Genomic DNA, 27,297 nt, shown 5'->3' on the forward strand with positions numbered 1-27,297 from the left:
GAATATAATTTATTTGTAAAATTATGTAACTTATTTTATATATTTTTTGAGACTAAGTCTCACTCTATCGCCCAGACTGGAGTGCAGTGGCATGATCTCGGCTCACTGCAACCTCCACCTTCCAGGTTCGAGTGATTCTCCCACCTCAGCCTCCCATGTAGCTGAGATTACAGGCACACGCCACCACGCCTGGCTAATTTTTGTATTTTTAGTAGAGATGGGGTTTCACCATGTTGGCCAGGCTACTCTTGAACTCCTGACCTCAGGTGATCTACCCACCTCAGCCTGCCAAAGTGCTAAGACTACAGGCATGAGCCACCACGCCTGGCCTATATAATTTAATTGCTAGTACTGGCTGTCTGTAACAACCAGCTTGCCATCTTCCTAAAAATTTATTTTTATTTTTATTTTTTTTGGAGACAGGGTCTGGCTCTGTTGCTCAGGCTGGAGTGCAGTGGCACAATCACAGCTCACTGCAATCTCTGTCTCCCGGGCTCAAGCAATTCTCTCAGCTCAGCCTCTTGAGTAGCTGGGATCACAGGTGCATGCCATTACACCCGGCTAATTTTTGTATTTTCAGTAGAGATAAGGTTTTGCCACATTGCCCAGGATGGTCTCAAACTCCTGGCCTCAAGTGATCTGCCCACCTCAGCCTCCCAAAGTGCTGGGAGTATAGGCGTCAACCCACGCCCAGCCTGAAAATTTAATACTTGGCTTCCAAGAGCTGGTGTGAGCCAGTCACAACACACACTGAGGCCTGAGGGGTCACAGGAGTCAGGTTATGGACACAGATGGGAGCAAACCTGGGCCTTTAATCTAAGCCCACCCTTCTCATGCCTGCAGGTAGAAGTCAAGTGCTGTGACCAAGTTGGCGCCCCCCTCACTCTCCCCTCCTTGCCCAGTTCCCTGTCAGGTACCTTGCAGAGGCTTGGCGGCCCGCTGGAAGAAGTTCTGCTCATTGAACAAGCGCCCATCCTTGGCATCCTGGTGGGGGACAGGAGGGGCAGAAGGCTGTCACACTGAAGTCTCAGATAAGGGCCCCCAGTCCCCACTGGCAATTTGTTACTCCCTCAATGACCAGGCTCCTCATCAAGTCCCCACATCGGAGCCAAATTCCTCAGGTACTGCACACAAACACACATCAGAGACTGCGAGCTACCTTGCTGTACCCAGGTTCCTTTTCTTTCTCTTATGGTAAGAGCCACAGTGTTCCCTAGAATGTAGCCTTCAGCATAAAAACTACGTTTCCCAGCTTCCTTTGCAGTGAGGACTGACCACATGACCAAGTTCTGGCCAATGAGGATGTGAGCAGAAGAAATGTGGGCAACTTCCAGGTTATGCCCTTAGTGGGCTGGGACAGGCTCTACCTTTCCTCTTCTGTTCCAGCTGGCTGCAACGCAGATGTGATGGTGGAAGCTGAAGCAGCCACTACGGCCCAGGAGATGCAGGTTATGCGTTGAAAATGTTGGTGCAAAAAGAAGGAAACAGGGCCCCTTGTTTATAAAACCATCCTATCAGCTCTGGAAAACTGCCCCTGACTTTTAAATGAAAAAGCAATAAAACATCATCTTGCTTAAGCCACCATTAATATTAGGTATTTGTTAAAATAACACTAAATGGCCAGGTGTGGTGGCTTAGGCCTGTAATCCCAGCACTTTGGGAGGCTGAGGCAGGTGGATCACTTGAGGTTAGGAGTTCTAGACTAGCCTCGCCAACATGGTGAAACCCTGCCTCTACTAAAAATACGAAAATTAGCCAGGCATGGTGGTGCGTGCCTGTAATCCCAGCTACTCGGGAGGCTGAGGCAGGAGAATTGCTTGAACCTGGGAGGCGGAGGTTGCAGTGAGCCAAGACTGCACCTCCAGCCTGGGTGACAGAGTGAGATTTTGTAGCAAAAAAAAAAAAAAAAGCACCAAATATTTTAATTAAACACAACTCATGCAGCTGAGTTCTTAAGAGTATAGAGTCAAACAGATCTAGGTTCAAACCCCAGCTCTGCCATTCATTCATTCATTCTTCCTACAAAGCCTCCATTATATGCTGAGTATTATTCTGGGCATTGGGGATATAGCTGTGAACAAAGCAACCTGCGTGCTGGGTGCACCTGGGCAAGTGACTGAGTCTCCATTTCCTCATCTGTTAAATAGGAACATGGAAGCCATCCCATAGGCTTGCTGAAATAATTCAATGACATAGTAAACACACATACACACACACACACGCACACACAAAACCCCAAAGAAAACCAAAAGGCTGGGTGTGATGGCTCATGCCTATAATCCCAGCACTTTAGGAGGTGAAGGTGGGAGCCCAGGAGTTCCAGACCAACCTGGGCAACACAGGAAGACCCCATCTCTACCAGAAAAAAAAAAAAAAAAAAAAAAAAAAAAGCTGGACGTGGTGGTGCATGCCTGTGGTCCCAGCTACTTGGGAGGCTAAAGTGGAAGGATCACTTGAACCTAGGAGGCTGTGGCTGCAGTGAGCCTTGATTGCACCGCTGCACTCCAGCCTGGGTGACAGAGAGAGATCCTGTCTCAAACAAAAATCCAAAAGAATTAAATGACATAATGCTTGTGACACTCAGCCCAGGGACTGTCACATAATAGGTTCTCAATAAGCAGGTGCTGCTACTGGTCATTAGTGAGCCTGGCTCCCTGCCCCATCTTCTCCTCTTCTTGTCCTTTTCTCTTTTTGCGTCCTGGAGTCCTCCCCACGATGCTGGCGAAGCCCATAGTGACTGACGCGAGCGACGTGGGCACAGCCATGCAGGCCCTGAGCAATCTCATGTGGGGTATTCATGCCTGCCCCACTCCCCCAAGGGGGCAGCTCCTTCAGGGCAGGAATTGGGTCTGACCCATCTCTGCAGATGTCCCCAGCACTCAGTTCACAGGAGGTTGCAGGAAAGGCTTGGTGAATAAATGAATAAATGGATGGATGAACACCACTGGGCATTCAGCCCCTGACCTTTCGAATGCTTCAGAACAGAGCTGCCTTCCCAGTGGATGGGGAGGGTGAATGTCTTCTGGTTGGCCCAGTGCCCTGTGCTCCCCTCCCAGCCCACCCCTCTTCCCGATGGGACTGGGACATGACATGGCTCCCGCCAGACTGGGAGCCTCTCCAGGGCTGGGCCTGGGGCCAACTCATCATCACCAAGTTTTGAGCCTCAGGAAATGTTGATGAGGTCAGATGCACGAACAGAGAGCAAGGCTGTATTTCTAGGATGATGAGCATAATTACAGTAGTAATAACAGGAACAGCTCAGGTTGATGGGGTGCCTACTGTGCCAGACACACCTGAACCATGCAGAGAAGTGTTAAATGGGACACGGTAGCTGCCCTACTGGGAGGATTCAATGAAGCAGTGCTTATGAAACACAGCCCGGCTCAGGCAATGCCAGGCTCTCAAAGCAGGTGCTACCCACCACTAGTGAGCCCGGCTCCACAGCCCACGCTCTGACCCACTCTCATGGCCTCCACCTAGGGCGGAGGGAGGGCAACTGACCCAGCTGTCCCTGGTTTTCTGGGGTGTGAGACAATTCTGATAAACAAAAAGAAAATAAGAGTCACCTGTAATCCCAGCACCCAGGGATGATGGCGGGGCTATGAACCACCACGATGCCCTTCTGTTAGGCACCTCCTCTGTGTGGAAGGCGTGATTCACCCTCGTGGCCACTCTCCCTTTCTCTATTTGTTTCCTTTTAGCCCCAACCTCGAGTGCACATGTCCTGTCTGCTGAGACTCATGCTCGGCACCCGATGTGTGATTTCACTGAATCCTCAGCACAGGGACCCCATCTGCTGGGTTCTCTTTTGGACCCCACACCCAGCACGGTGATACACAGTAGGTGCTCGATACGAGCACGCTGCGAGGCCGGTGGTAGGGGGCAGATGGGCCACACCCTGTGGGTATTAGTGGCTCCATTTCACAGATGAGGAAACTGAGCTCTGAGGGGGATGGGCTTGCCCAGGTCACACAGCAGGGAAGCATCAGAGCCAGACTTGGGTGGATCCAACTGTGGGTTTCCAACACCCTGGGATGATGGAGAACTGGGCGCCTGCCCCGCCCACGGTCTTAATACTCCTTGCAGGTGGGGACCCTGGCCCCCGGCCGAGCTCTCCCAGCTGACAGACGGGCTCAGAAGTCAAGGATGTGTTTGTGAAAGTCCCTCCCCTCCAAGCTGCCCCCCACCTGCAGGGTCACTTACCAGTTTGAGTGAGAACTTTTGCTTCTGTGGTCCTGAGTCACAGGTGAGGGTGGAGGTGGGTGCAGCTGTGGGGGAACAAACAAGGGAGTGAGGTTATAACCACGCGGAAGGTCAGGGTCATCATCCCCAAACTTCCCAGCAATGAGAAGCGGCTCTGGTGCCCTGGTTCCAACAAGGTCAAGCGCACTCTTGGCTCTCACGACTTGCTGCTTCCTAGTTTTAAATAAGCTTCTTCTTCCTCTTTCTCTCTGTCACTATCCAGCCATGCAGGAAGGGCTAATGCAGCAGGCCTGAGACGGCTCTCCTGGCAAGGTCTGGGACCCTGGATTCCGGGAGGGCTCCCAGAATCCCCTAAGTGAGTGGGGCTCGCTGAGCCTAAACTGCTTGTGCAATCACTGTGGTTTCTGTGCAACACCTGCTTTCCTCTGGGGAACCTGGGATGCGGATACATGTCAGACAGAGGGGGCCACATGACTACTCCCCAATAACAGCCCCGAGCACTGAGCCTCTGAGGAACTTCCTGGTGGACAGTTCCCATGTACTGTCACAGCCTGTGGCTGGGCAATTAGGTGCGTCCTAGGCAGAGTGACTTCATCCAAGGCCACATCCCAGGGTGACCCAGGTCCAGTGACTGATTGAGGTGGACATAAAGGCCCAGCCTCTCCTGGCCCAACACGGACGCACGCTGAAGGACCACTTTTGCTCCAGAGCCCTGCAGGGTCGGCTGAGGCCATCACTGGGCTGCATCGCAGCCCACCTCCTGCTCCTTACCCCCTCCTTGGGTTCTGATCCCTGAGGCAGCTCCCCATAAGCACCCTGCATGCTTGTCCCCCGACAGAGCCTGCTCCAGTAGCCCTTACTGTTCATTTACAGACCTCACCACGTCTCTGGCCCTGTGCTAAGTGTGGGCTTCACATGCATGGTCCCATCTGACAGATGAGAAGAGGAGAGAGGCCAAGAAACGCCAGGCTGACCCAGGGTTCAAATCCCAGCTCCTCCATCTGCTCTCTGTATGACTTTGGGCCTCCATTTGCATGTCTGTAAGATGGGAGCAGTAAGGCCTACCCCGAGACTGGCTGCAAGGACTCAACAGGCTGGCAGGAGTAAGAGCAGCACCAGCGATGTGTGCAGCAAGAGTCTGCATCCCCCTTCACGCACACTGCTCAGTGAACCCACTCAGCCCAGAGCCCAGCACGGACCCTGGCACATCAGGATTGCTCCACAGGTGGTGGCCTTAAAATATCCCCATAACACCAGGGCTCCCCAGCCGGGGAGTGGCAGAGCTGGCTCAACCTGGGTCTAGCTAATCCCAAAGCCCATGAGTTGAGCTCTTGTCGCCCGCACACCTGACTCACGCTGGTGTCCCTCCTTCCTCTGTTCTCATCGTTCCCACTCTCCCTTCATCATCGAGGCTGGTATCGTCTAAGACACTGAGCTGAGGGATGGGGGGTGACAAAGTCACCCAGAAGCCATCCTTGCCCTCAAGAAGCTCCAGCTGGAACAGGGTTGGGAGCCAGCTCTACACGTTCAAGGCCAAGGGTGCTCTGAGCCCAGGGGAAGAGAGGGAGACGTATGCAGGACCCGCATCTCGGGGAAAGAAAAATCCTTTCCAGCTGTGGGGAGAGCACTGGGGGGATCATGCTGGAGCAGGCTGTGACATCATGACCAAGCATCCGCCCAGCTCTGGAACCCAGGCATAGTAACAGTGCCTGTCTCTCAGAGGCACCATGAGGTTAATGACAATGCGTACGTGCCCGGTACTCAGAGGCAAGCAGGAAAAGCTGGCAATTTGATACAATTTTATAATCTGCTTTGCAGATTATAAAAAGCTTTTCTCTTTCACTTTTCTAACTGGCCCTGCAGCCAACAGCCTGGAAAGCTAGCTGGGCAATTTTCATTGTAGAGGGAGCCAAGGGAGGCCAGAAGGGAAAAGGGGCTTGGCCAAGGGCCCCAGCAGAGACAGGCCACAAGCCCAGGGCTCTAGACTCTGTGATCTAGGGTGGCAGATCCAGGTTTCTGCTTGCCGGAAACCTGACAAATGGAAAGTCTCTACATGTGCCAAATGAAGACCAGGGCGTGGCATGCAGGCAGGTGAGCACCTCCCCTTCCCAAAGGTCAGCTGGTCCTGAACTTGGAGCAGGAGCACTGTTCTGGGACCCATCCTGACCCTAACACCAGAAAGCACATATACGGCAGTGGCCGTTTTCCCGGCATCACTCTACTCATTTCACTCTCCTGACTGCAGCCCTGTGAGGGCAGTAGCATTACCATCTCCCCTCTGCAGATGAAGAAACTGAGGCACAGGGTCATGCTGTCATTCGAAAGGTCAAGCGACAAGCGGCAAGCAGAGGCAGCCCAGCCCACCACTGAGCTCCAGGGTGCCCCATGCCTTCCACCTCCCCAGGCCCTGCTGGGGACCCTGACTGACTTCTCCCCTCCGGCCTCCAGAAGGAATCAGCAGAGCCAACACCTAAACTTCGTACCCAGTGATTTTGGACTTCTGGCCTCCAGAGCTGTAGGAGAATAAGCATGTGCTGTGTTAAACCACTCACTGTGGTAACTTGTTACAGCGGCCACAGGAAACTAACACAAGCCCCACCTTTCATCTGCAAAGGCAGAAGCTGCAGAGGGCAGCGTGGGCCCGACCCTGAGCTGCTGCTCACGGGCAGCTCTCCCAAGTGCACCGCAGTGAGCAGCCGCACGGATTCATGTGACTGATGACGGATGGTGGTTCTCCCCTATAGCTCAGCGAGGCCCGGGATATATGACATTATAGTTCAGTACTGGACAGAGACACAAGAGTTAATAAAATGCTTAGAGCATGGCGCAGAGAGTGGGGTAAAGTGTCCACTGCTCGAATAACCATAACGATTCAGCTTGTTCTTGTTGTTTTACTGTTATTGCTTTAAATTACGGGACATACAACTCCACCATCTCTTCTTGACTGGTGCAAACTGGCAGAAGAAAAGGGCGATTTGCTCTGGGGCGATGTCACCCAATGGTGGTGTGTCCCCAAATGCAAGCTCCGCATCAGCAGGGCCTTCACCAGCCCCGCTCTCCCTGCACTGTCTGTGCTGGCACCGCGGCCAGACACATGAAATGGTAGGTGCTGCTTAAGGATCCACTGAGCAACCGGGCACAGTGCTCACGCCTATAATCCCAACACTTTGGGAGGCAGAGGCAGGAGGATGGCTTGAGGCCAAGAGTTTGAGACCAGCCTGGCCAACATAGTGAGATCGTCTCTACTTTAAAAAATAAATAAATAAAGGGACTGCTGAAGGAATGGATGACTCACACAGGCTGGGCACTGGGGTTTGCTATTTTTATCAAACAACCTGAGTCATATAAGGGAAAACCAAAACCACATTGGCCCAGAGTAGCTCCTCCTGTGCTTCCACTGTGGGTTTCTGGGGGAGGTCAAGCGTGGTTTCTTCTCTCAGGAGCTCCTGGCTCTGTGTGTTTTCCTCTCCTTCTCCCTCTTCCTTCCCCGCCCTCCTGCCCTCTCCCCACCCTGCTCTCTCACCTCAATCTCTTTCTTACTGTTGGTTTTCATCCTTCTCCCTTTCTCCTCCCTCTGTGCTCCTCGGCCCCTCATTCCTTCTCATCATGATCCCTTCTCGCTCTTTCTCCCTGCCCTCTCCTTCTCCTTTCTCTCCCTTTCTTGGGAGAAGCCAGAGTGCCTGCGTTCAAATCCCAGCTCTACTACTTCCAGGCTGTGTGCCCTTGGGCAAGTAGCTTCCTCTCTCTGTACCCCAGTTGCAGGATGGGGTAATATGGGTGCCTATCTCACAGTGTGGCTGGCAGCATTACATGGGTAAGACACAGAGAGTTCCCAAAGTGTCTGGCATGGGATCCTGCCTGTAATCCCAGCACTTTAGGAGGCTGAGGCGGGAGGATCGCTTGAGCCCAGGAGTTTGGGACCAGCCTGGGCAACACAGTGAGACTGTCTCTATTTAAAAAAAATTAAAAAATTAGCCTGGCGTGGTGGCGCCTGCCTGTAGTCCAAGCTACTCGGGAGGCTGAGGGGGGAGAATCACTTGAGCCTGGGAGGTTGAGGCTGCAGTGAGCCGTGATTGCACAACCGCACTCCAGCCTGGGTGATGGAGCGAGACTCCATCTCTTAAAAATAAAAGTGCTGGCACAGGTGAGTGCTCCCTAGGTGTTAGCCACGGCCCTCTTTCTCTTGCTCCTGCTTGGTCTTGGTCACACTCTTTCCCCTCTCCCTCACCTTTCCTGGCCCTGCCTATCTGTCCCTCTGTTATTAACACTGCCTACCTCTGCCTGGGAAGGACCCTGTACAGTTTTCCAAGTGCTTGGCCTCCATCTCCTATCATCATTTGAGCCAACAGCCCCAGGAGACAGGGGACAAGGCGTCATCTCACTTTTCCAGTGGAGGACATCAAGGCACAGAGTGCCTGGGCTGTTTGCTGGGGCTCCCTCAGTGTGTCGGAGCCAAGTCAGGACTCAGATTCGGGGCTGTCTGAAACACCAGCTGTCCTGCCCACCTGCCCAGACTTCAAGGCAGGGATGGCCAACGGAAGGCTCAAAATTGTCTACGTGCCTGTCTGGCCAGCAGGCACTTCCAATTCAAAGATTTCCTATTGAAATCTAGGTTTCAAGCTTTTCCTGGAAAACTTGGAAGATTCTGGAGCCCAGAGCCTAATAATTCACATCTCTGGGATCCATGTTCCTCATGTATAAAATGGGGATAGGGATAGTACTGACATCCTAAGGCTGCGGTGAGAATTTAGCAAACCTCTGCCCATCAAATAACTTGTAAGCAAATATTCATGGCAGCGTTACTCATAACAGCCCAAAGCGGAAACTACCCAAACGCCCATCAGCTGCTAAGTGGCTAAGCCACATGGGGTGTTCCCATACAGCAGAATATCACGCAGCCATAAAAGGAGTGCGGCAGTGACGCGCCACAGCATGGATGCACCTTGAGCACACGCCGCTGGGTGAGGGATGCCAGACACAAGAGGCCACACAGCGCAGGACTCCACTTCTGTGAACACCCAGAAGGGGCAAATCCACGGAGGGAGAAAGGCGGTTAGTGGCTGCCAGTGGACTGGGGGAAGAATCAGAGTGATGGCTCAGAACTACTGGGTTTCTTTTTGGGGTGACAGAAACGTCCTGGAATTAGATAGTGACGATGGTTGCATAACACTCTGAATATCCTGAAGGCCACTCAGTTGCACCCTTTAAAAGAATGAATTTTCGTGGTGGCTCATGCCTGTAATCCCAGCACTTTGGGAGGCTGAGGTAGGTGGATCACTTGAGGTCAGCTGTTCGAGACCAGCCTGGCCAACATGGTAACACCCTGTCTCTACTAAAAATACAAAAAATAAAAATAAAAAAATAAAAAAATTTAGCCCGGTGTGGTGGCATGCGCTTGTAATCTCAGCTACTTGAGAGGCTGAGGCAGGAGAATCGCTTGAACCTAGGAGGTGGAGGTTGTTAAAAGCCGAGATCGTGCCACTGCACTCCAGCCTGGGTGACAGAGCAAGACTCTCTCTCAAAAAAATAAAAAATAATAAATAATAATAATAAAAGAATAACTTTTTGTTTGACATGGAGTCTCACTGAATAATTTTTTTTTTTGAGACGGAGTCTCGCTCTGTCACCCAGGATGGAGTGCAGTGGTGCAACCTCGGCTCACTGCAAGCTCTGCCTCCCGGGTTCACGCCATTCTCCTGCCTCAGCCTCCCAAGTAGCTGGGACTACAGGTGCCAGCCACCACACCCGGCTAATTTTTTGTATTTTTAGTAGAGACAGGGTTTCACCGCGTTAGCCAGGATGGTCTCGATCTCCTGACCTCGTGATCCGCCTGTCTCGGCCTCCCAAAGTGCTGGGATTACAGGCGTGAGCCACCGCGCCTGGCCAATAAAAGAATAACTTTTATGTGAGTTTTATCTCAATTAAAAAGTTCCAAAAAGAAAAGAAAGGAAAAGAAAAACCCATGTAAAGTGCTTAGAACAGGCCTGGCCTTGCAGAAGCACTCAATATTTATTACAGTTAATACTAATACTACTGCCATAATTATTTTCCTCATTGTAACAGAGTCTGAGCTTTTCAGCCTTGTGCCTCCCTCCTCCCCTTCCATCCCACACCTGGGTGAGCGGATGAGCAAGCTTGGGTGCTCCCTCCTTTGGGGTGTGCATCCACGAGACTCAAACCATGCATGGTGTTGGCCCCTGTGCAGAAACCCTGAGCCCAGCCCCACCCCCAAGCACGATGAAACACCTGACCAGTCTCCTTTCCTCACTCTCAAGGCATCTCAGATCTGTGTGGGAGGCCTGCCTGCTCTCCACAGAGACCCCTATTATGTAAGCAATAAACCTCTCACATCCTCTTGGTGTGTGTGTGACATCATCAGTCTCGATGTTTGAACCAAATTTTACGTGGGGATCCATCCTCTCTCTGCACACTGGCCAGAACAACCATCCTTAACATGCAGCCCCTGGGCCTGCACTCCCACGTGACAATAGCAGGTAGCAGGTGGGGTGAGGAGGGGCACACTTCACACAGGGCACATGCCAACTGGCCGCAGTCCCCGCCACTCCCAACTGCCTTACTCCAGCCTGCTGCACTCATTCCCACTATTGCCCGGCCCTGCAGGTGGGTAGGTATAGAGTCCAAGGTCTAAGAGAAAGTTGCCTAGCGACAGGTCTGCAGCTAGGGATGTGGCTTCCATTCCCATTCTCAGAACGGGGTCCCCTCCCACTGTCCTGGTGCTGAGACGACCCAGTCCCTGGCCGCCCATGGACAGAGTGTACCTTCATAGAGAATGCCCTGGTTGTCCCTGGTCTGGAAGGACTTCAGCTTCCACTGTCGCCCACTCTTGTCTGTCAGCACTGTCCCTGTGGGCAAAGCTTCAAGTGAGGTGGTCACTCGGCTCCGCTTCAGCGTCTGAGGGCTCTGCCTGGTCTTCTGAGGGCTACAGCTGGTCTTCTGAGGGCTACCCCTGGTCACCTGAGGGCTCTTCCTGGTCTTCTGAGGGCTGCTTTTGGGGGTTGGGGGTCTGCTCCCGGAGCCTGCAGGAGGATGTAAGAATAAAGTAAAAGCACCATCCAGGAGAGAAAAGTTAGATGGGGAGTGAAACAGCACGCAAAATACTGTTCCTTTACAAATTCGTTCATTCAACAAACATTTCCTGGGACCTTCTATGAGTCAGGCCTTTGTGTGATGATGTTGGGGCACCAGATAGGAGTCGGACCTGCATCCTTCCCTCAGGAGTGCCCAGTTTGGTGGGCAAGTCTGCTCTAGACACAGCTAGTCAGATGCGGGTCTGAGACAGGGCAGTACAGACAGATATTAGGGCCCAAAAGAGAAAGAGATCCTGCCTGGAGAAGTCAGGGTAGGCTTCCTGGAGGAAGGGATGTTAGAGTTGGATCTTGTTGGATGAGGAGAAGTTTGCCAGGGAATAAAGGACATTCTAGACATTTACCCAAAAACATCCTGAAAAAGGACTCAGTCCTGAGATAGAAAAGGGCCAAAAAATTTGTTAGACCAAAGCCCTGCCCTAGAAGGGCTCCTAGCCTGGCAAGAGAATGGGGTGGGTGTGGTGGGAGACAGACTTGGACACAGGAAAAGACATCGCTTACTCTGTTCCTCCCACCCACCATCCCCTAAAGGCAAGTAATGGCAAGAGGCCTCTGGGCCCAGAGGATAATGAGGAGCAAAGGGGACGCCTCACACTGCCACTGTGGCTGTGGCTTCAGATCCAGGGGCTCAGTGAACAGGAGAAGGAACATAGTCCTCAGGCCTCCCGTGTCCTGGGCACTGGCTGGGCAGAGGGTATATACACTAATTGTGCTGGGTCCCTACCTGCAAAGGGCCCCCAGCCCAGAAAGTGAGGCCGAAAGGGATGTGGAGCCTAGACTGACATGCGCTCCAATGAAGGCTGCAGCAGGCACGGGGGGGCGCCAAAGAGGCTGGAAAGAGGCTCTGGCGGACGATGAGGAGGTCTGGATGCGAGCCTATGGCACTCAAGAGAAGCTTCCTAGAGACCAGTATCGGCTGAGTGGCAGTACACAAGGCCAAGAACGAAGGTGAGAGTGCCCTGGGCTGAGGGAACAGGCTTAGCAAAGACCAAGGTTAATCCCCAAAAGTGTTTTCTGGGCAAAGACTGTGTTGAGGGCTAAAGCAGGAACCAGGCCACACAGATACCAGACTGAAGAGCTTGGTCTGAGGGCACCAGGAACAGTAGGGGTCTGTGTGCAGGGAGGGGCCGGGGCAGCTCTAGGTGCTGAAAGACCCATCTGGGGCCATATAGAGGCAGACTGGAGGGGGAGATGGGAGGCTGGGGAAGCTGCTGGAGTCAGAGTCCAGGCAGGGATGGATGATGTTTGAGCCGGGGCTGTGGCAGTTTTGTCCCAAAGATCATCAGATGACCTAACTTTGCTCCACTTAAGAGTCAGGCCAGATAGACCTTAACTCTTACCTTTGGATCTCTCAGAGGAACTCAGAGTATCTTCAGACTCAGAACTGTCACCATCTGAGAAGAGGGATAATCGGGGAGAGGTGACGGTGCTGGACCATTTCACTTTCTTAGGAGAGGTTTCAAAACTGGAGTTCAGCCCTCTCTTTGAGCCTAAAGAAAGGCAGACAAAATGCAGACTGGAGTTACAAAGGCCCCTCTGCAGGCACCATTGGACTGGGAGCCCTGAGGTTATACTCAGCTATGCTGTTCTCTTTGGCCCTCAACACCAATTCTTGCTTCTTCTATTATGTAAATATATGAGCAAACTGTTCCTTTTAGTTGTTCTCTCCTTCTTAGGTCTTTGCCTCTCTTGTATCTTCCAGCACTTTGCCACTCTGTGTCCTTTCCACATAATGTCTTTATATGTATGTATATTTGAGATGGAGTCTCACTCTGTTGCCCAGGCTGGAGTGCAGTGGTGCAATCTTGGCTCACTGCAACCTCTGCCTCCTGGGTTCAAGCAATTCTCCTGCCTCAGCCTCCCAAGTAGCTAGGATTACAGGCATGCACCAACATGCCTGTAATGTTGCTAATTTTTATAGTTTTAGTAGAGATGGGGTTTCACCATGTTGGCCAGACTGGTTTTGAACTCCTGACCTCAAGTGATCGGCCAGCCTCAGCCTTCCAAAGTGCTGGGATTACAGGCATGAGCCACCATGCCTGGCCTCTTCCATGTAATTTCTTAAAATCTATCTTCCAGTTAACTAATTCTCCCAGCTATGTCTAGTCTGCTGTTTAAACCACCCACCGAGTTTCTGATTACAATAATTATTTTATATATATATACACACACACACACATATACACACATACAATGATTGTGTGTATATATATACACACATACACATATATACATATATAGACACACACATATACATATACACACATACAATCATTAGAGTTTTTATTTGGTTCCTTCTCTTATTTGCCTGTGCAACTTTAACCTATTCCTTCATTATACTTTCAATTTGTTATTTTATTTATTTAAATGTATTAAGCATGCTTTGTAAACATTCTCATCTATTAATTCTAAAGTCTGTGGTCTTGGCAGGTCCGATTCTGCAGTTTGTTGTTTCTGCTGACTCTCCAGCTAGCTTATTTCCTGGTGTCTTTGTAAATCAACAGAGACTGGTACTCATGATCCTTGGATGTTGACCTGTGGTAATTCCCTGATGTTTGTCTTTAAAGGATGTTTTCCAAGAGAAGATTTGTTTATATCAGGCAGGGAGTGGTACCCACATCTCACCACTTTAAGTTAAATGTTCAGCTTGCATTTTGGGGGACCACACAGATCAGTGTGAATTCTGGCCCCAAACTGGTGAGAACGTGAATTCTTGGTTAGGAACTCTCCAAGAAGGCTGGGCGTGGTGGCTCATGCCTGTAATCCCAGCACTTTGGGAGGCCAGGGCGGGTGGATCGCCTGAGGTCAGGAGTTTGAGGCCAGCCTGTCCAACATGGTGAAACCCCGTCCCTACTAAAAATATAAGAATTAGCTGGGTGTGGTGGCAGGTGCCTGTAAACCCAGCTACTTGAGAAGCTGAGGCAGGAGAATCGCTTGAACACGGGAGGTGGAGGTTGCAGTGAGCCAAGATTACACCACTGCACTCTAGCCTGGATGACAGAGTGAGACTGTGTCTCAAAACAAAAACAAAAACAAAAAACAAAAAACAAAAACAAAAAAGGGAATTCTCAAAGAAGACATTCCTCCTTTATTTACCCACCACCAAGGCGACAAATGTCTCCACCAATTTTCTGTGGAACAATTGCTTTTGTTGTAGTTCACCCACTGAGGAGCCCCAGATTTGAGAGGAAATTTCCAATTGCAACTCCTGTACTGCTAAGGCCCTAAGCTTTGTCTCCTGCACCCCAATAAAACACAGGCTCAAGGCCATCAGCAAACAGCCCCAGGACAAATAACACCTATGTAACACTTGCTTAGCCCTGTGGTCTCTGTTTTCCTGTTGTTTCTCATCTCCATGGACTCCCCTTACTTTCCTACCACTTAGCTCTATATTTTAAAAGGACATTTTAATGTTTTATTCCACATATTTGGGCACACTGAACAATAAGGAGTTTTTATTATCATCTGGTCTGCCATATTGCTAAAAACAAATGTCCTTTCTTTTTAGTTGACACTGACTAACTCAGCCAGCATGGTTGGTCCCTGGGCTACTGGAATGGCCTCCTAACTGGTTTCCATGCCTCGAATCCATTTTCCACACAGAGAAGCCACAGAAATCTTTCCAAAATGCAAAGCCTATTGTGTTGCCTACTTGGTAGAAGCTCTTCCGCAGCTCTCCACGTCACCACAGTTAAAACCAAACTCCCTCCCATGGTCCTGCCTGTCTTCCCCCAGGCAGAAATGTTCCTCACTCCTCCAGCGTGTAGTTAAAACCAAACTCCCTCCCGTGGTCCTGCCTGTCTTCCCCCAGGCGGAAATGTTCCTCACTCCTCCAGTGTGTAGTTAAAACCAAACTCCCTCCCGTGGTCCTGCCTGTCTTCCCCCAGGCGGAAATGTTCCTCACTCCTCCAGTGTGTAGTTAAAACCAAACTCCCTCCCGTGGTCCTGCCTGTCTTCCCCCAGGTGGAAATGTTCCTCACTCCTCCAGTGTGTCTGGCTCCCCTCGCCTCACCTCTGCTCCCCATACCATGTCCCAGTGGCTGGAACACATGTGCCAACTCCCACCTTGCTCATTCTTTTTTTTTTTTTTTTTGAGACGGAGTTTTGCTCTTGTTGCCCAGGCTGGAGTGCAATGGCGCAATCTTGGCTCACCGCAACCTCTCCCTTCCGGGTTCAAGCGATTCTCCTGCCTCAGCCTCCCGAGTAGCTGGGATTACAGGCATGCACCACCACGCCCAGCTAATTTTGTATTTTTAGCAGAGACAGGGTTTCTCCATGTTGTTTAGGCTGGTCTCAAAACTCCCGACCTCAGGTGATCAGGCTGCCTCAGCCTCCCAAAGTGCTGGGATTACATGCGTGAGCCACTGTGCCTGGCCCATTCTTCTTCATCCCTAGCTCAGCTCAAACTTTACCCACTTAGGGAGATCTTCCCTGATTCCCTGAAAAGCATGTTCCCTTATATATGTTCCAGGGTCCATTCAGTTCCCCTCTGTTATCATGCAACCTGCTGATAATCATTTATTCAATGTCTGTTGTCTTACTGAGAGACCAGAAACCAGGGCTGTCTCATTTCTTACTATAATCCTCGGGACAAATACAGCACCTCAGCACATGGCAGGTTACCCATACATATTTGCCATCTGATGACTGATGGAGTGAATAATGAACTGGGCTCTAGGTTAGCATTAGGAAAGGCAGGGGTTGGGTTAAGAACTGACTCTGGCCGGGTGCAGTGGCTCATGCCTGTAATCCCAACACTTTGGGAGGCCAGGAGTTTAAGACCAGCCTGGCCAACATGGGGAAAGCCGGTCTCTACTAAAAATACAAAAATTAGCCAGGTGTGGTGGTGCGCGGCTGTAATACCAGCTACTACGGAGGCTGAGGCAGGAAAATCGCTTGAACCTGGGAGGCAGAGGTTGCAGTGAGCCGAGATCGTGCCACTGCACTCTAGCCTGGGCGACAGAGCAAGACTCTGTCTTAAAAAAACAAAGGCCGGGCGCAGTGGCTCACACCTATAATCCCAGCACTTTGGGAGGCCGAGGCGGGTGGATCATGAGGTCAGGAGATCGAGACCATCCTGGCTAACACGGTGAAACCCCGCCTCTACTAAAAATACAAAAAAATAGCTGGGCGTGGTGGTGGGCGCCTGTAGTCCCAGCTACTCGGGAGGCTAAGGCAGGAGGATGGAGAGAACCCGGGAGGTGGAGCTTGCAGTGAGCCAAGATCGCGTCACTGCACTCCAGCCTGGGCGACAGAGCGAGACTCCGTCTCAAAAACAAAACAAAACAAAAAAAACACTCTGACTCTCAAGTTGGGCCAAGGCAAACGCTGTTCACATTTGCCTGGAACTGTGGAGATGAAGAAGTCAACTTGAGACCTCAAGGCAGTAAGCATGGGAACAAAAGCCATATGCTAAGGATGGCTCAGTGCAAAGACAGAGGAGCCTGGGTCCCTTAGGGCATCATGGGGACACCATCCCAATACGCACTGTCCCCTTTTAGTAAGAAAAATATTGCTCTACATACTTGCCAGTGAAAGAAAAGAAGAAATAAACCTAATCATTTGTTTAAACCCTTGTCATAGCATTTTCTGTTATCTGCAGCTAAACACACTCCCAAATGATAAAATGAATGTCACTTGACTCCCCGCCATGTATGCTGACTGCCTTCTGCACAACTGTCCGATGGATAAACCTTCTTTGATTTACCAATATAGTATCTGGGCTTGGGCCTTCCAGTGAGCAAGACCTACTACTGATATTTAATTAATTCATTCAACCAGTCAGTAAGATTTCTCAGCACCCAATACCATGCCAGGCACAGACCCAGGTGCTGTGCAAACAGCAGGTTACAAAACCACAATCAACACAGGTTACAGAAACACAAAAAGTTTCTGTCCTTATGGAGCTTACAGAAGAAGCAATCCAAGCAAAATAATGTATTTAATAGGGTTGAGACAAGTACCAAAAAGAAATACACAGCAAGGAAGGGGGACAGGATCATTGCATAGAGGGAAGATGCAACTTTAATTAGTAGTGGTAGGGAAAGTGTCTCTGAGAAAGTAACAATTGAATAAATATCTGAAGGCATGGCTGGGCGCAGTGGCTCATGACTGTAATCCCAACACTTTGGGGGGCTGAGGCAGGTAGATCACTTGAGGCCAGGAGTTCAAGACCAGCCTGGCCAACGTGGTGAAACCCCATCTCTACTGAAAATATAAAAATCAGCCGGGCATGGTGGTACATACCTGTAATCCCAACTACTCGGGAGACTGAGGCACAAGAATCACTTGAACTCGGGAGGCGGAGATTGCAGTGAGCTGAGATTGGGGCCACTGCACTCCAGCCTGGGTGACAGAGCGAGACTGTTTAAAAAAAAACAAAGCTGGGCATGGTGGCTCACGTCTGTAATGCCAGTACTTTGGGAGGCCGAGGCGGGTGGATCATTTGAGGTCAGGAATTTGAGACCAGCCGGCCAACATGGTGAAACCCTGTCTCTACTAAAAATACAAAAAATCAACTGGGCTTGGTGGCAGGCGCCTGTAATCCCAGCTATTTGGGAGGCTGAGGCAGGAGAATTGCTTGAACCTGGGAGACGGAGGTTGCAGTGAGCCGAGATGTTGCAGTGAGCCAAGATTGCGCCACTGCACCCCAGCCTGGGCGAAAGAGCAAGACTCAGTCTCAAAAACAAAAACAACTAAAAACAAAACCTGAAGGCAGTGAAAGAGTGGGGCATGCAGGCCCATAAGGGAAGAGGCGTCCAGGAGGGAGCGGCAAGCGCACAGGCTGAGGCCCAGGCGTGCTGAGGTGTGGAGGGGCAGCCAGGAGGCCAGTGTGGCTGGAATAGCAGGAGGGTCGGGAGGTGGGGTCTGAGGGGAAATGGGGACCTGGTCCCTTCACCTCACTTGGGGAAGTATGAGCAGAGGAATGATGGGCTCTGACTGTATTCACAGGATCTCTCTGGTGGCTGCGTGAAGACGACTACAGGGACAAGAGAGGGGAGCAGAGGGCAAGAAGGCTTCTGCATAAGAGAGGTGAGGACCAGGGATGTGGGAGGTGCGGAGAAGGAAGTGGGCTGATACTGCACTGATTGTAAAGAGGGAGCCAACAAGATTTGCTGAAGGGGTGGGTGTGTCACGGGGTGCGAGACAAAGAGAACTCAAGGATGATCCCCAGGGTCCGGCCTGGGAAACTGGATGAATGGAGTGCTATTCATGGCAATGGGGAAGTCTAGGGCAGGCGGCAGGAACACCAGGAGCTCAGGTGAAGGCATGTTCAGACTAAGATGTGACCAGGACATCCAACACAGGCTGAGCATCCCAAATCCGGAAATCTGAAATGCAAAATGCTCCAAAATCTGAAACTTTGAGTGTCAACAGGATGCTCAAGGGAAATTTCACTGGACTACTGTGGATTTCAGATTTTTTTTTTTTGACATCGAGTCTCACTCTGTTGCCCAAGCTGCAGTGCAATGGTGCAATCTCGGCTCACTGCGACCTCCGCCTCCTGGGTTCAAGCAATTCTCCTGCCTCAGACTCCCAAGTAGGTGGGATTACAGGCATGCGCCACTATGCCCAGCTAATTTTTGTATTTTTAGTAGAGATGAGATTTCAGGATGTTGGCCAGGCTGGTCTTGAACTCCTGACCTCAAGTGCTCTGCCTGCCTCAGCCTCCCAAAGTGCTAGGATTACAGGCATGAGCCACTGTGCCCAGCCAGATTTCAGATTTTTGAATCAGGATGCTCAACCAGTAAGTATAATGCAAATATCCCAAAATCTGAAAAAATCCAAAATCAGAATACTTCCAGTCCTCATCATTTCGGATAAGGGATACTCAACCTGCAGGTGCCAAGCTGGCAGGCTGCACATATATCTCCTCCAAGCAGGGGAGTCCAGGCTGGCTGGAGATAGAAATGAAGGAGATGTTAACATGGAGACAGTGTTCAAAGCCATGAGGCCAATAAGAGGCCAAGAGACTGATGGTAGACAGAGGGGTCCAGTCCTGAGGCCTGGGCTTCTCCAGTGTCAGGACAGGGTCAGACAGGCTGCAAAGGCATCCTCCCTCCGCAGACACACACGTGTATGCACCTTATTCCCACCGCAGAAACAGGCTCAATGCTCTGGTTCTTACCTTGGAAGGATGACACATGTGGATTGACAAAGGTCTGGGACCCTACATGCTCCTCTACAGGCAAAGAATTTCCACAGTAGGGGCAGAATTTGAATGCCGCTTGGATACTTTTGCCACAGTCTGGACAGAAGGAGATCATGCTACAAAACAGAATGAACAAACACAAAGTGAAACGGGCCAGCTGAAGGTCAGTGGAAGTATTGTTGAACTGCTCTTAATCACAGGGTGAGTGGCAGGAGGCACAACCAGGGTCTTCAACTGTTTGTGATGTTCACTTCTTAAAACATGCAATGGGAATGGGAGTGACAGTCAATGTTCCCCAAATATCAATATGCTCCCCTATACTTCCCAGGTTCCCTTGCAGCAAGGTAGAGGCCACATGACTAATTCTGGCCAATGGGGTGTGAGTAGAGTCATCTCATGGCCGAGGCAGTTAGGAGTCAGAATACCTCCTCTGCCTCCCCCTCCACCTGCAGGGATGGCCCTGGAGGCCATGGCTCCCAACTGACATAGCAAGATGAAGGAGGGCTGCCTGGTCCACACTGGAACCTCATGATCAACAAATACACTTCTGCTGTATTGAGCCACCAAGATTTCAGGGTTTATTTGTCATGGCAGCACAGCCTATTCTATCCTGACTAATTTAGTAGAATGATGAGTGTTCACTAAATTACTCTCTATGCTTTGCATCTCTCTGAGCTAATTCCTGATACTTTTTAAAAGTCCAAATTACATACTGAGACTATGACAAATGAGGATATAGAAGAGTTTTAAGCCAGTTAAGTGAAGAAGGGAAATTAACAAGGATGAAGTACAACAGGCAGTTTGTATTGCCCTTCATTATGGCAGTGCTATTTGTAACGAGCATCTAACAAAGAGCAATACGCCGGGTGCGGTGGCTCAAGCCTGTAATCCCAGCGCTTTGGGAGGCCATCACAGGCAGATCACCTGAGGTTAGGAGTTTGAGACCAGTCTGTCCAACATGGTGAAACCCTGTCTATACTAAAAATACAAAAAAAAATTAGCTAGGTGTGGTGGCATGCACCTGTAATCCCAGCTACTCAGGAGGCTGAGGCAGGAAAGTTGCTTGAACCCGGGAGGTGGAGGTTGCAGTGAACCAAGATCATGCCATTGCACTCCAGCCTGGACAAGAAGAGTGAAAACTCTGTCTCAAACAAACAAAACAAACAGCAGCAACAAAAAAAGGCCATTTATTTGTTCTTATAGTCTCAGGCTTACTGTACATTAGCAATTAAAAGTGAAACTATTGGCCGGGCACGGTGGCTCGTGCCTGTAATCCCAGCACTTTGGAAGGTCGAGGTGGGCGGATCACCTGAGGTCAGGAGTCCAAGACCAACCTGACCAACATGGAGAAACCCCGTCTCTACTAAAAATATAAAATTAGCCAGGCGTGGTGGTGCACGCCTGTAATCCCAGCTACTCGGGAGGCTGAGGCAGGAGAATCACTTGAACCCGGGAGGCAGAGGTTGTGGTGAGCCGAGATCTCACCATCACACTCCAGCCTGGGTAACAAGAGTGAAACTCTGCCTCAAAAAAAAAAAAAAAAAAAAAAAAAAGTGAAACTATTGAAATAGAAGTTAATATAAACATGGGCTTGTGATTTAATTTCACCTTGAAAGAGAATATTCATTTTTAAATTTTTTTAGAGATAGGGTCTCACTCTGTCACCAGGGAGGAATGCAGTGGCATAATCATGGCTCACTGCAGCCTCAAACTCCTGGGCTCAAGCAATCTTCCCAGGTAGCTGGAACTATAGGTATGTGCCACCACAACTGACTAATTTTTTAAGTTTTTTTTTTAGAGACGGGGTCTCACTATGTTGCCCAGGCTGGTCTGGAACTCCTGGCCTCCAGCAATCCTCCGGCCTCAGCCTCCCAAACTGCTGGGATTGTAGGCATGAGCTACCACCCTGGCTGCAAGAGACCATTCTGATCAAACCCTTTTCCTTTATTCACTGTAAAGGCTGGCTTCTGTTGCAAATGCAAACAGTGGAGTCCTTAAAATCACAGGTTTGGCCCCAGGCTGCCAGATTTCAATCCCAGATCTGCTACATGCTGGGCAAGCTACTTAACCTCTCTGTGTCACAGTCTACCCCACTGTAAAATGGGGCTTCTCCCAGCTCCTATCTGATAGAATGGTCGATGAGGTCTAAATGAATACATTTATATGAGGTGCTGAGAACAGGGCCTGGCCCATAGAAAGCCTTTTATGTTAGTGCTTGCTGTGACCATATCATGCCTTGTACCCAAGTTACTATATTCCAGTCATTAATATTTCTATTCTTCCCTTTCTTCTTTGATAGGAAGTTCTGAGCTCCTCAGGCCTGTCTATTTCCTCTAGGTACTGACTTTTGAAATTATAGAGCTTGTCCTTAAAAACCACAGGCCATCCCCATCAGCTGGTGAAAGAAATCTCAGCCACATGAGGAGAGAAGGGGTCCTGGATTCCTTTTCCTCAGGCTGCAGAAGAGCAGAAACACTCTGTGGCATAAATCTGCCCTTCTGTTTTTTCAAACAAAGGAGTCATGTAAGACATCTGGACTGCAAAGGCTGTTGGTCAAGTATCTTTTACTCTCTAGAAAGCCAGTCATTCTAACTTAAGTTAGCCAGACTAACTTAGTGATTTGTTGTCCTGCTAATAATATGTAAAATAACATCTCTTTCTCAAAGGCACAAATACTGGTGAGCATTTTTGTGAAGCTAGAGGTCTCACTGCCTCTTCCCTCTCTGCCAGGCAAACCTGGGTGTTGACACTGGTGTCACAAGACCAAATTGCCTAGATGTACCCAATAAATATATACACCTACTATGTACCCAGGTAAATTAAAAATTAAAAAAAAGGCCGGGCGCGGTGGCTCATGCCTGTAATCCCAGCACTTTGGGAGGCCGAGGCGGGCGGATCACGAGGTCAGGAGATCGAGACCATCTTGGCTAACACGGTGAAACCCCATCTTTACTAAAAATACAAAAAATTAGCTGGGCGCGGTGGCAGGCGCCTGTAATCCCAGCTACTCGGGAGGCTTAGGCAGGAGAATGGCATGAACCCGGGAGGCGGAGCTTGCAGTGAGCCGAGATAGCACCACTGCAGTCCGGCCGGGGAGAAAGAGCGAGACTCCGTCTCTAAAAAAAAAAAAAAAAAAAAAAGAAAAAAAATTAAACAAAAATTTTTTCTTTTCTGAGACGGAGTCTCGCTCTGTCACCCAGGCTGGAGTGCAGTCGCGCGATCTCGGCTCACTGCAACCTCCACCTCTCGGGTTCAAGCGATTCTCCTGCCTCAGTCTCCCGAGTAGCTAGGATTACAGGCGTGGGCCACCATGCCTGGCTAATTAAAAATATATGTATTTTTAAACTGTATAGAGGCTGGTGCCTGGAAAGTTGTATTAGCGAGAAATAATGTGTGATTGTGATAAACTACTAAGATTTAGAAGTTGCTTGTTGCTGAAGCCTAGCCTAGCCAGACTGTACACTTCTTTTTTATTTTTTAGCAACAGGGTCCCACCCTGTCACTCAGGCTGGAGTGCAATGGCATGATCATGGCTCACTGCGGCCTCGAGCTCTTGGGCTCAAGCCATCCTCTCACCTCAGTCTCCCAAGTATCTGGGACTACAGGCATGTGCCACCATGCCTGGCCTTTTTTTTTTTTTTTTTTTTTTTTTTTTTTTTTTTTTTTACTTTTTGTAGAGATGGGGTCTTGCTATGTTGCCCTGGTCTCGAACTGCTGAGCTCAAGCTCAATCTTCCTGCCTTGGCTTCCCAAAGTGCTGGGATTACAGGTGTGGGCCACCATGCCTGGTCTAGACTTCTTATGTGAACAAAGCGTTTGTTTAGAAATCTGTGATGGTTTTATTTATTTTGAGACAGAGTTTCACTCTGTCACCCAGGCTGCAGTGCAGTGGCACGATCTTGGCTCACTGCAACCTCCGTCTCCTAGGTTCAAGCGATTTTCCTGTCAGTGTCCCATGTAGCTGGGACTACAGGTATGCGCTACCACACCCAGCTAATTTTTTTTTTTTTTGAGATGGACTTTTGCTCTTGTTGCCCAGGCTGGAGTGTAGTGGTGCAATCTCAGCTCACTGCAACCTCTGCCTCCCAGGTTCAAGCAATTCTCCTGCCTCAGCATCCTGAGTAGCTGGGACTACAGGTAGGCGCCACCATACCTAGCTAATTTTTATATTTTTAGTAGAGATGGGGTTTCACCATGTTGGCCAGGCTGGTCTCGAACTCCTGACCTCAAGTGATCCACCCGCCTCAGCCTCCCAAAGTGCTGGAATTATAGGCGTGAGCCTCCACACCTGGCAGAAATCTGTGATGGTTTTACACGGCTTCGTGTTAAATAGAATTTCCCCAGATGCTGACTGCCCTCCAATAAAGATGCCTCCAGGATGCAGCAAGTGCCTAACCAGGTGAGCCCTGCCATACCTATGACAACGTTCCTTCTGGGAGTAAAGCTGGCCAGCAGCAACCCAGAGGAGACAAGCAGGAGCCAGCTGCTGGTGGGAAAAAGGAAAAAGGTCTTGAGAGGCTGTGCCCAAGGGATAATACCTTTATGAGGTCACGGTCTGGCCCTTGGATTTACTGGGTTGGAAACTCCATCTTGACAGCGACCTGTAAGTGAACAAAAGTGGAGAGGCTGACTCATGCTTTCACATAGAAATGAAAGATAATGGCTAATGTTTACTGAGCACTGGCCATGTCACCAGCATGTGCCAAATCCATTCGTTTATTCATTTACTCTATAACTATTCACCGAGTTTCCTGTTTATGCCAGCCACTAGGGAAACAGCAGCAAAGGAAACAACACAGCCCCTGTCTTCAGGATGCGCACGTTCTGGTGGGGGAAGAGACACTAACAAACAAATGAGCAAGGAACCGCTGAACAGGTCAGATGGAGAAAGGGCTATGGAGGACAATAAAGTACCATAGAAGAAAACAGGATGCCACAGAGGTTGGTGGGTCACTATTCACACAGGGTGGCCAAGGAGGGCCTCGCCCAGAGGGAGGCATCTGAGCAGAGACCCAAAGGAAACCAGGGAGCGAGCTGTCAATATCTGGGAAGGAGTCCTCAGGCAGACAACTTTCTATGCATTATCCTGTTTAGTCTATACAACAGCCCAGGACGCAGGTTCCAGAATTATCACCACTTCATAGGAGAGTGTGGCATTTGTATTTTCCAAAGCAGGTCACATGACTATTTCTGGTCCTGTGTGCTCTTTGGAACCTTGTAACCCCTCCTCCCAGGAGTCAGGGTCTCTGTTCCTCCCCCTTTGGATCTCGGCAGAGCTGTGACTGCTCCTACCAATAGAGGACCGGCAGCAGTAAGGCCATGAGACTTCCCAGGCTGGGTCATAAAAAACAACTTGCACCTGGCTGGCTCGCTCAGGATGCTCACCCATGGAAGCCAGTTTCCACGGCATGAGGCAGCCTAAAGTAGCCCAGGCAGAGAAACCACATGGAGAGGCTCAGGTGGAGAGGAACTGAGGCCCCTGGCCAACAGCCACCATCAGCTGCTGGGTGAGTGGGCAAGTCCTCAGACCACTTAAACCCCAGCCTTCAAGTCTTCCTGCTAAGGCACAGGCACTGGGGAGCAGAAACAGGCCACCTCACTGTGCTCACTCTGAATTCCTGGCCCATAGGATCCATGGGCACAAGAAATGGTGGTTCTACACCAGTGAATTGTGGGACGATTTGTTCTCTAGACATAGTAACCGGGACAGGGAGTCCCTGCTGCACAGAGAGGTCAAGTCACTCACTTAAGACGGTTCTCATTTCATGACAGTTCAGTATGTGCAGACCACTGTGCTAAGTTCTCGGCAGGTATTATCTACAGAACCTTCCCAATCACCCTTTTCAAGGTAAGAATGATTTCCCCTTTGGGGAGATGAGAAGCAGAGGCTCAGAGAGCAAATGACTTGCCCAGGGCCACAAACCTCTTAAGCGGCGAGCCAGACACATGATTTTGTTTAATCTTTCCCTCCACTCTATGAGGTAGGGATGATTATCCCATCTTTGAAACCTACAAAATGATGCTCAAAGGGTGACAATTCTCCTTCCCCCAGACCTGACTCCACTCACCTAGAAAACAGTGGGGACGCAGCTGAAATCCAGAACCCAAAAGCCCATGTTCTTCACCTGGTGCCAATTTATACAACGAAAACGCAAAACCGGACTGGGTTCTTGGGGCAGCAGGTCAGAACATTCTTGTAGATTTAAATCTGGAAGCTGATGTTGGGTGTGGAACCACGGCAAGAGAGTCTTTTAACCATGTGCCACCCCCGGTTCTGACACCGTCACCAGCCTGGTCTAGGCCACCATCTCTCCCTTGTGCTACTGCAGCAGCCTCCTAACTAGACTTTCGGCTTCTACGCTTGTCCCTACAATCTATTTTCAACCCAGTAGCTTGACGGATCCACTTAAAATCTAAGTCAGACCCTGTCTGTGTCCCTGCCCTGGCCCATATGGTGGGTCGGACACGGTGGCTCACGCCTGTGATCCCAGCACTTTGGGAGGCCGAGGTGGGCGGATCACGTGAGGTTAGGAGTTCCAGACCAGCCTGGACAACATGGTGAAACCCCGTCTCTACTAAAAAAGTACAAAAAAAAAAATCAGCCGGGCGTGGTGGTGGGCACCCGTAATCCCAGCTACTTGGGAGGCTGAGGCGCAAGAGTCGCTTGAACCTGGGAGGCAGAGGTTGCAATGAGCCAAGATTGCACCGCTGCACTCCAGCCTGGGCAACAGAGCAAGACTCAGTCTCATAAATAAACAAATAAATAAATAAAATGTAAGTCAGACCCTGTCCCTCCTCTACTCAAAACCGTATGGTGGATTTCATTTTAGACAGAATAAATGCTGAAATTCCTACCATGGCCCAGGAGCCCCCTGTATGATCTGCCACTTCCCTGTTCCCTCTCTGACCTCTCCCACCTCTCCCCTTGCTCACGCTGAGTCAGCCACAACAGCTTCGGTGCTTTTCCCCAATCGTGACAAGAACGTTTCTTCCCCAAGACCTTTGCACCTGCTCTCCCATCTGCCTGGAACGCTGTCCCCCTAAGAGTGCACACAGTTAACTTCCTCATCACATTCTTTAGCTCTCTGTTCAAATGTCACCTTCTCAGAGACCTTCTTGGACACGATTTTACTGTGTTTTTTCTTTTCTTTTTTTTGAGATGGAGTTTGGCTCTTTTCGCCCAGGCTGGAGTGCAATGGCACGATCTCGGCTTACTGCAAACTCTGCCTCCCGAGTTCAAGTGATTCTCCTGCCTCAGCCTCCCATGTAGTTGGGATTACAGATGCGTGTCACCACGCCTGGCTAATTTTATATTTTTAGTAGAGATGGGGTTTCACCATGTTGGCCAGGCTGGTCTTAAACTCCTGACCTCAGGTGATCCCCCTCAGCCTCCCAAAGTCCTGGGATTACAGGCTCGAGCCACCGTGCCTGGCCCTGGACACCATTTTACTAATAGCATGTTTTATCCTCCTTACCTTGCTTTATTTTTCTTCACAGTGCTTGTCACTACCTGACATACTCTGACTTACTAGAATGTAAGCTTCATGATGGCGGGGACTTTTCCCTGCCTTGTTTGCCACAGTGTGCCCAGAGCCTCAAACAGGCCTGGCACAGAGCAAATGCTGGGTCTACGTCTGCTGAGTGAATAAATCATTGTCTCCTTTGCAAAAGAAAATGTGCCAAGAAGGTGGGTGGGGGGGGTCCCCAGCTGTGTCAGTACACATTCATCTCTCAGGCAAATCTAGACATCCAGCCAGAGACTCAAAGCTCAGGGCCGGAATTATCTAGCTGGATGGTCCCTAAAAAAGACGTGCCACTTAGAAGCAGATCAGTACAG

General features: G+C 50.2%; 1 protein-coding gene across 18 annotated transcripts in view, besides 1 other annotated feature; it reads right to left on the minus strand.

Moving 5' to 3' along the window:
* VRK3 (VRK serine/threonine kinase 3) overlaps positions 1-27,297 on the minus strand; it is a 48,905-nt gene that overhangs the window by 20,119 nt on the left and 1,489 nt on the right. For 9 of the 18 annotated variants that reach the window (XR_007066855.1, XR_007066857.1, XR_007066858.1 and 6 more), the window contains exons 2-7: positions 23,999-24,061; positions 19,438-19,577; positions 12,650-12,799; positions 10,983-11,240; positions 4,204-4,268; positions 918-984 (exon numbers count right to left, since the gene is read on the minus strand). Coding sequence is in view for 13 of the 18 variants with exons in the window: in XM_005258971.4 (XP_005259028.1) it covers positions 918-984; positions 4,204-4,268; positions 10,983-11,240; positions 12,650-12,799; positions 19,438-19,576 (679 nt within the window). In the remaining 5 variants the exon portion in view is untranslated. The remainder of the gene's footprint in view (positions 1-917; positions 985-4,203; positions 4,269-10,982; positions 11,241-12,649; positions 12,800-19,437; positions 19,578-23,998; positions 24,062-27,297) is intronic. The other 9 variants (XR_007066860.1, XR_007066859.1, XM_005258972.5 and 6 more) reach the window with 2 other exon arrangements.
* Positions 7,564-7,623: a silencer, noted in NCBI's record as "silent region_10949". NCBI's record gives its function as "represses an Ori minimal core promoter by ATAC-STARR-seq in GM12878 lymphoblastoid cells {active_cell/tissue: GM12878}" and the evidence as "EXISTENCE:reporter gene assay evidence [ECO:0000049][PMID:35858748]".

Source organism: Homo sapiens, chromosome 19, assembly GCF_000001405.40.
Source record: "Homo sapiens chromosome 19, GRCh38.p14 Primary Assembly".
In the NCBI taxonomy this organism is placed as follows: domain Eukaryota; kingdom Metazoa; phylum Chordata; class Mammalia; order Primates; family Hominidae; genus Homo; species Homo sapiens.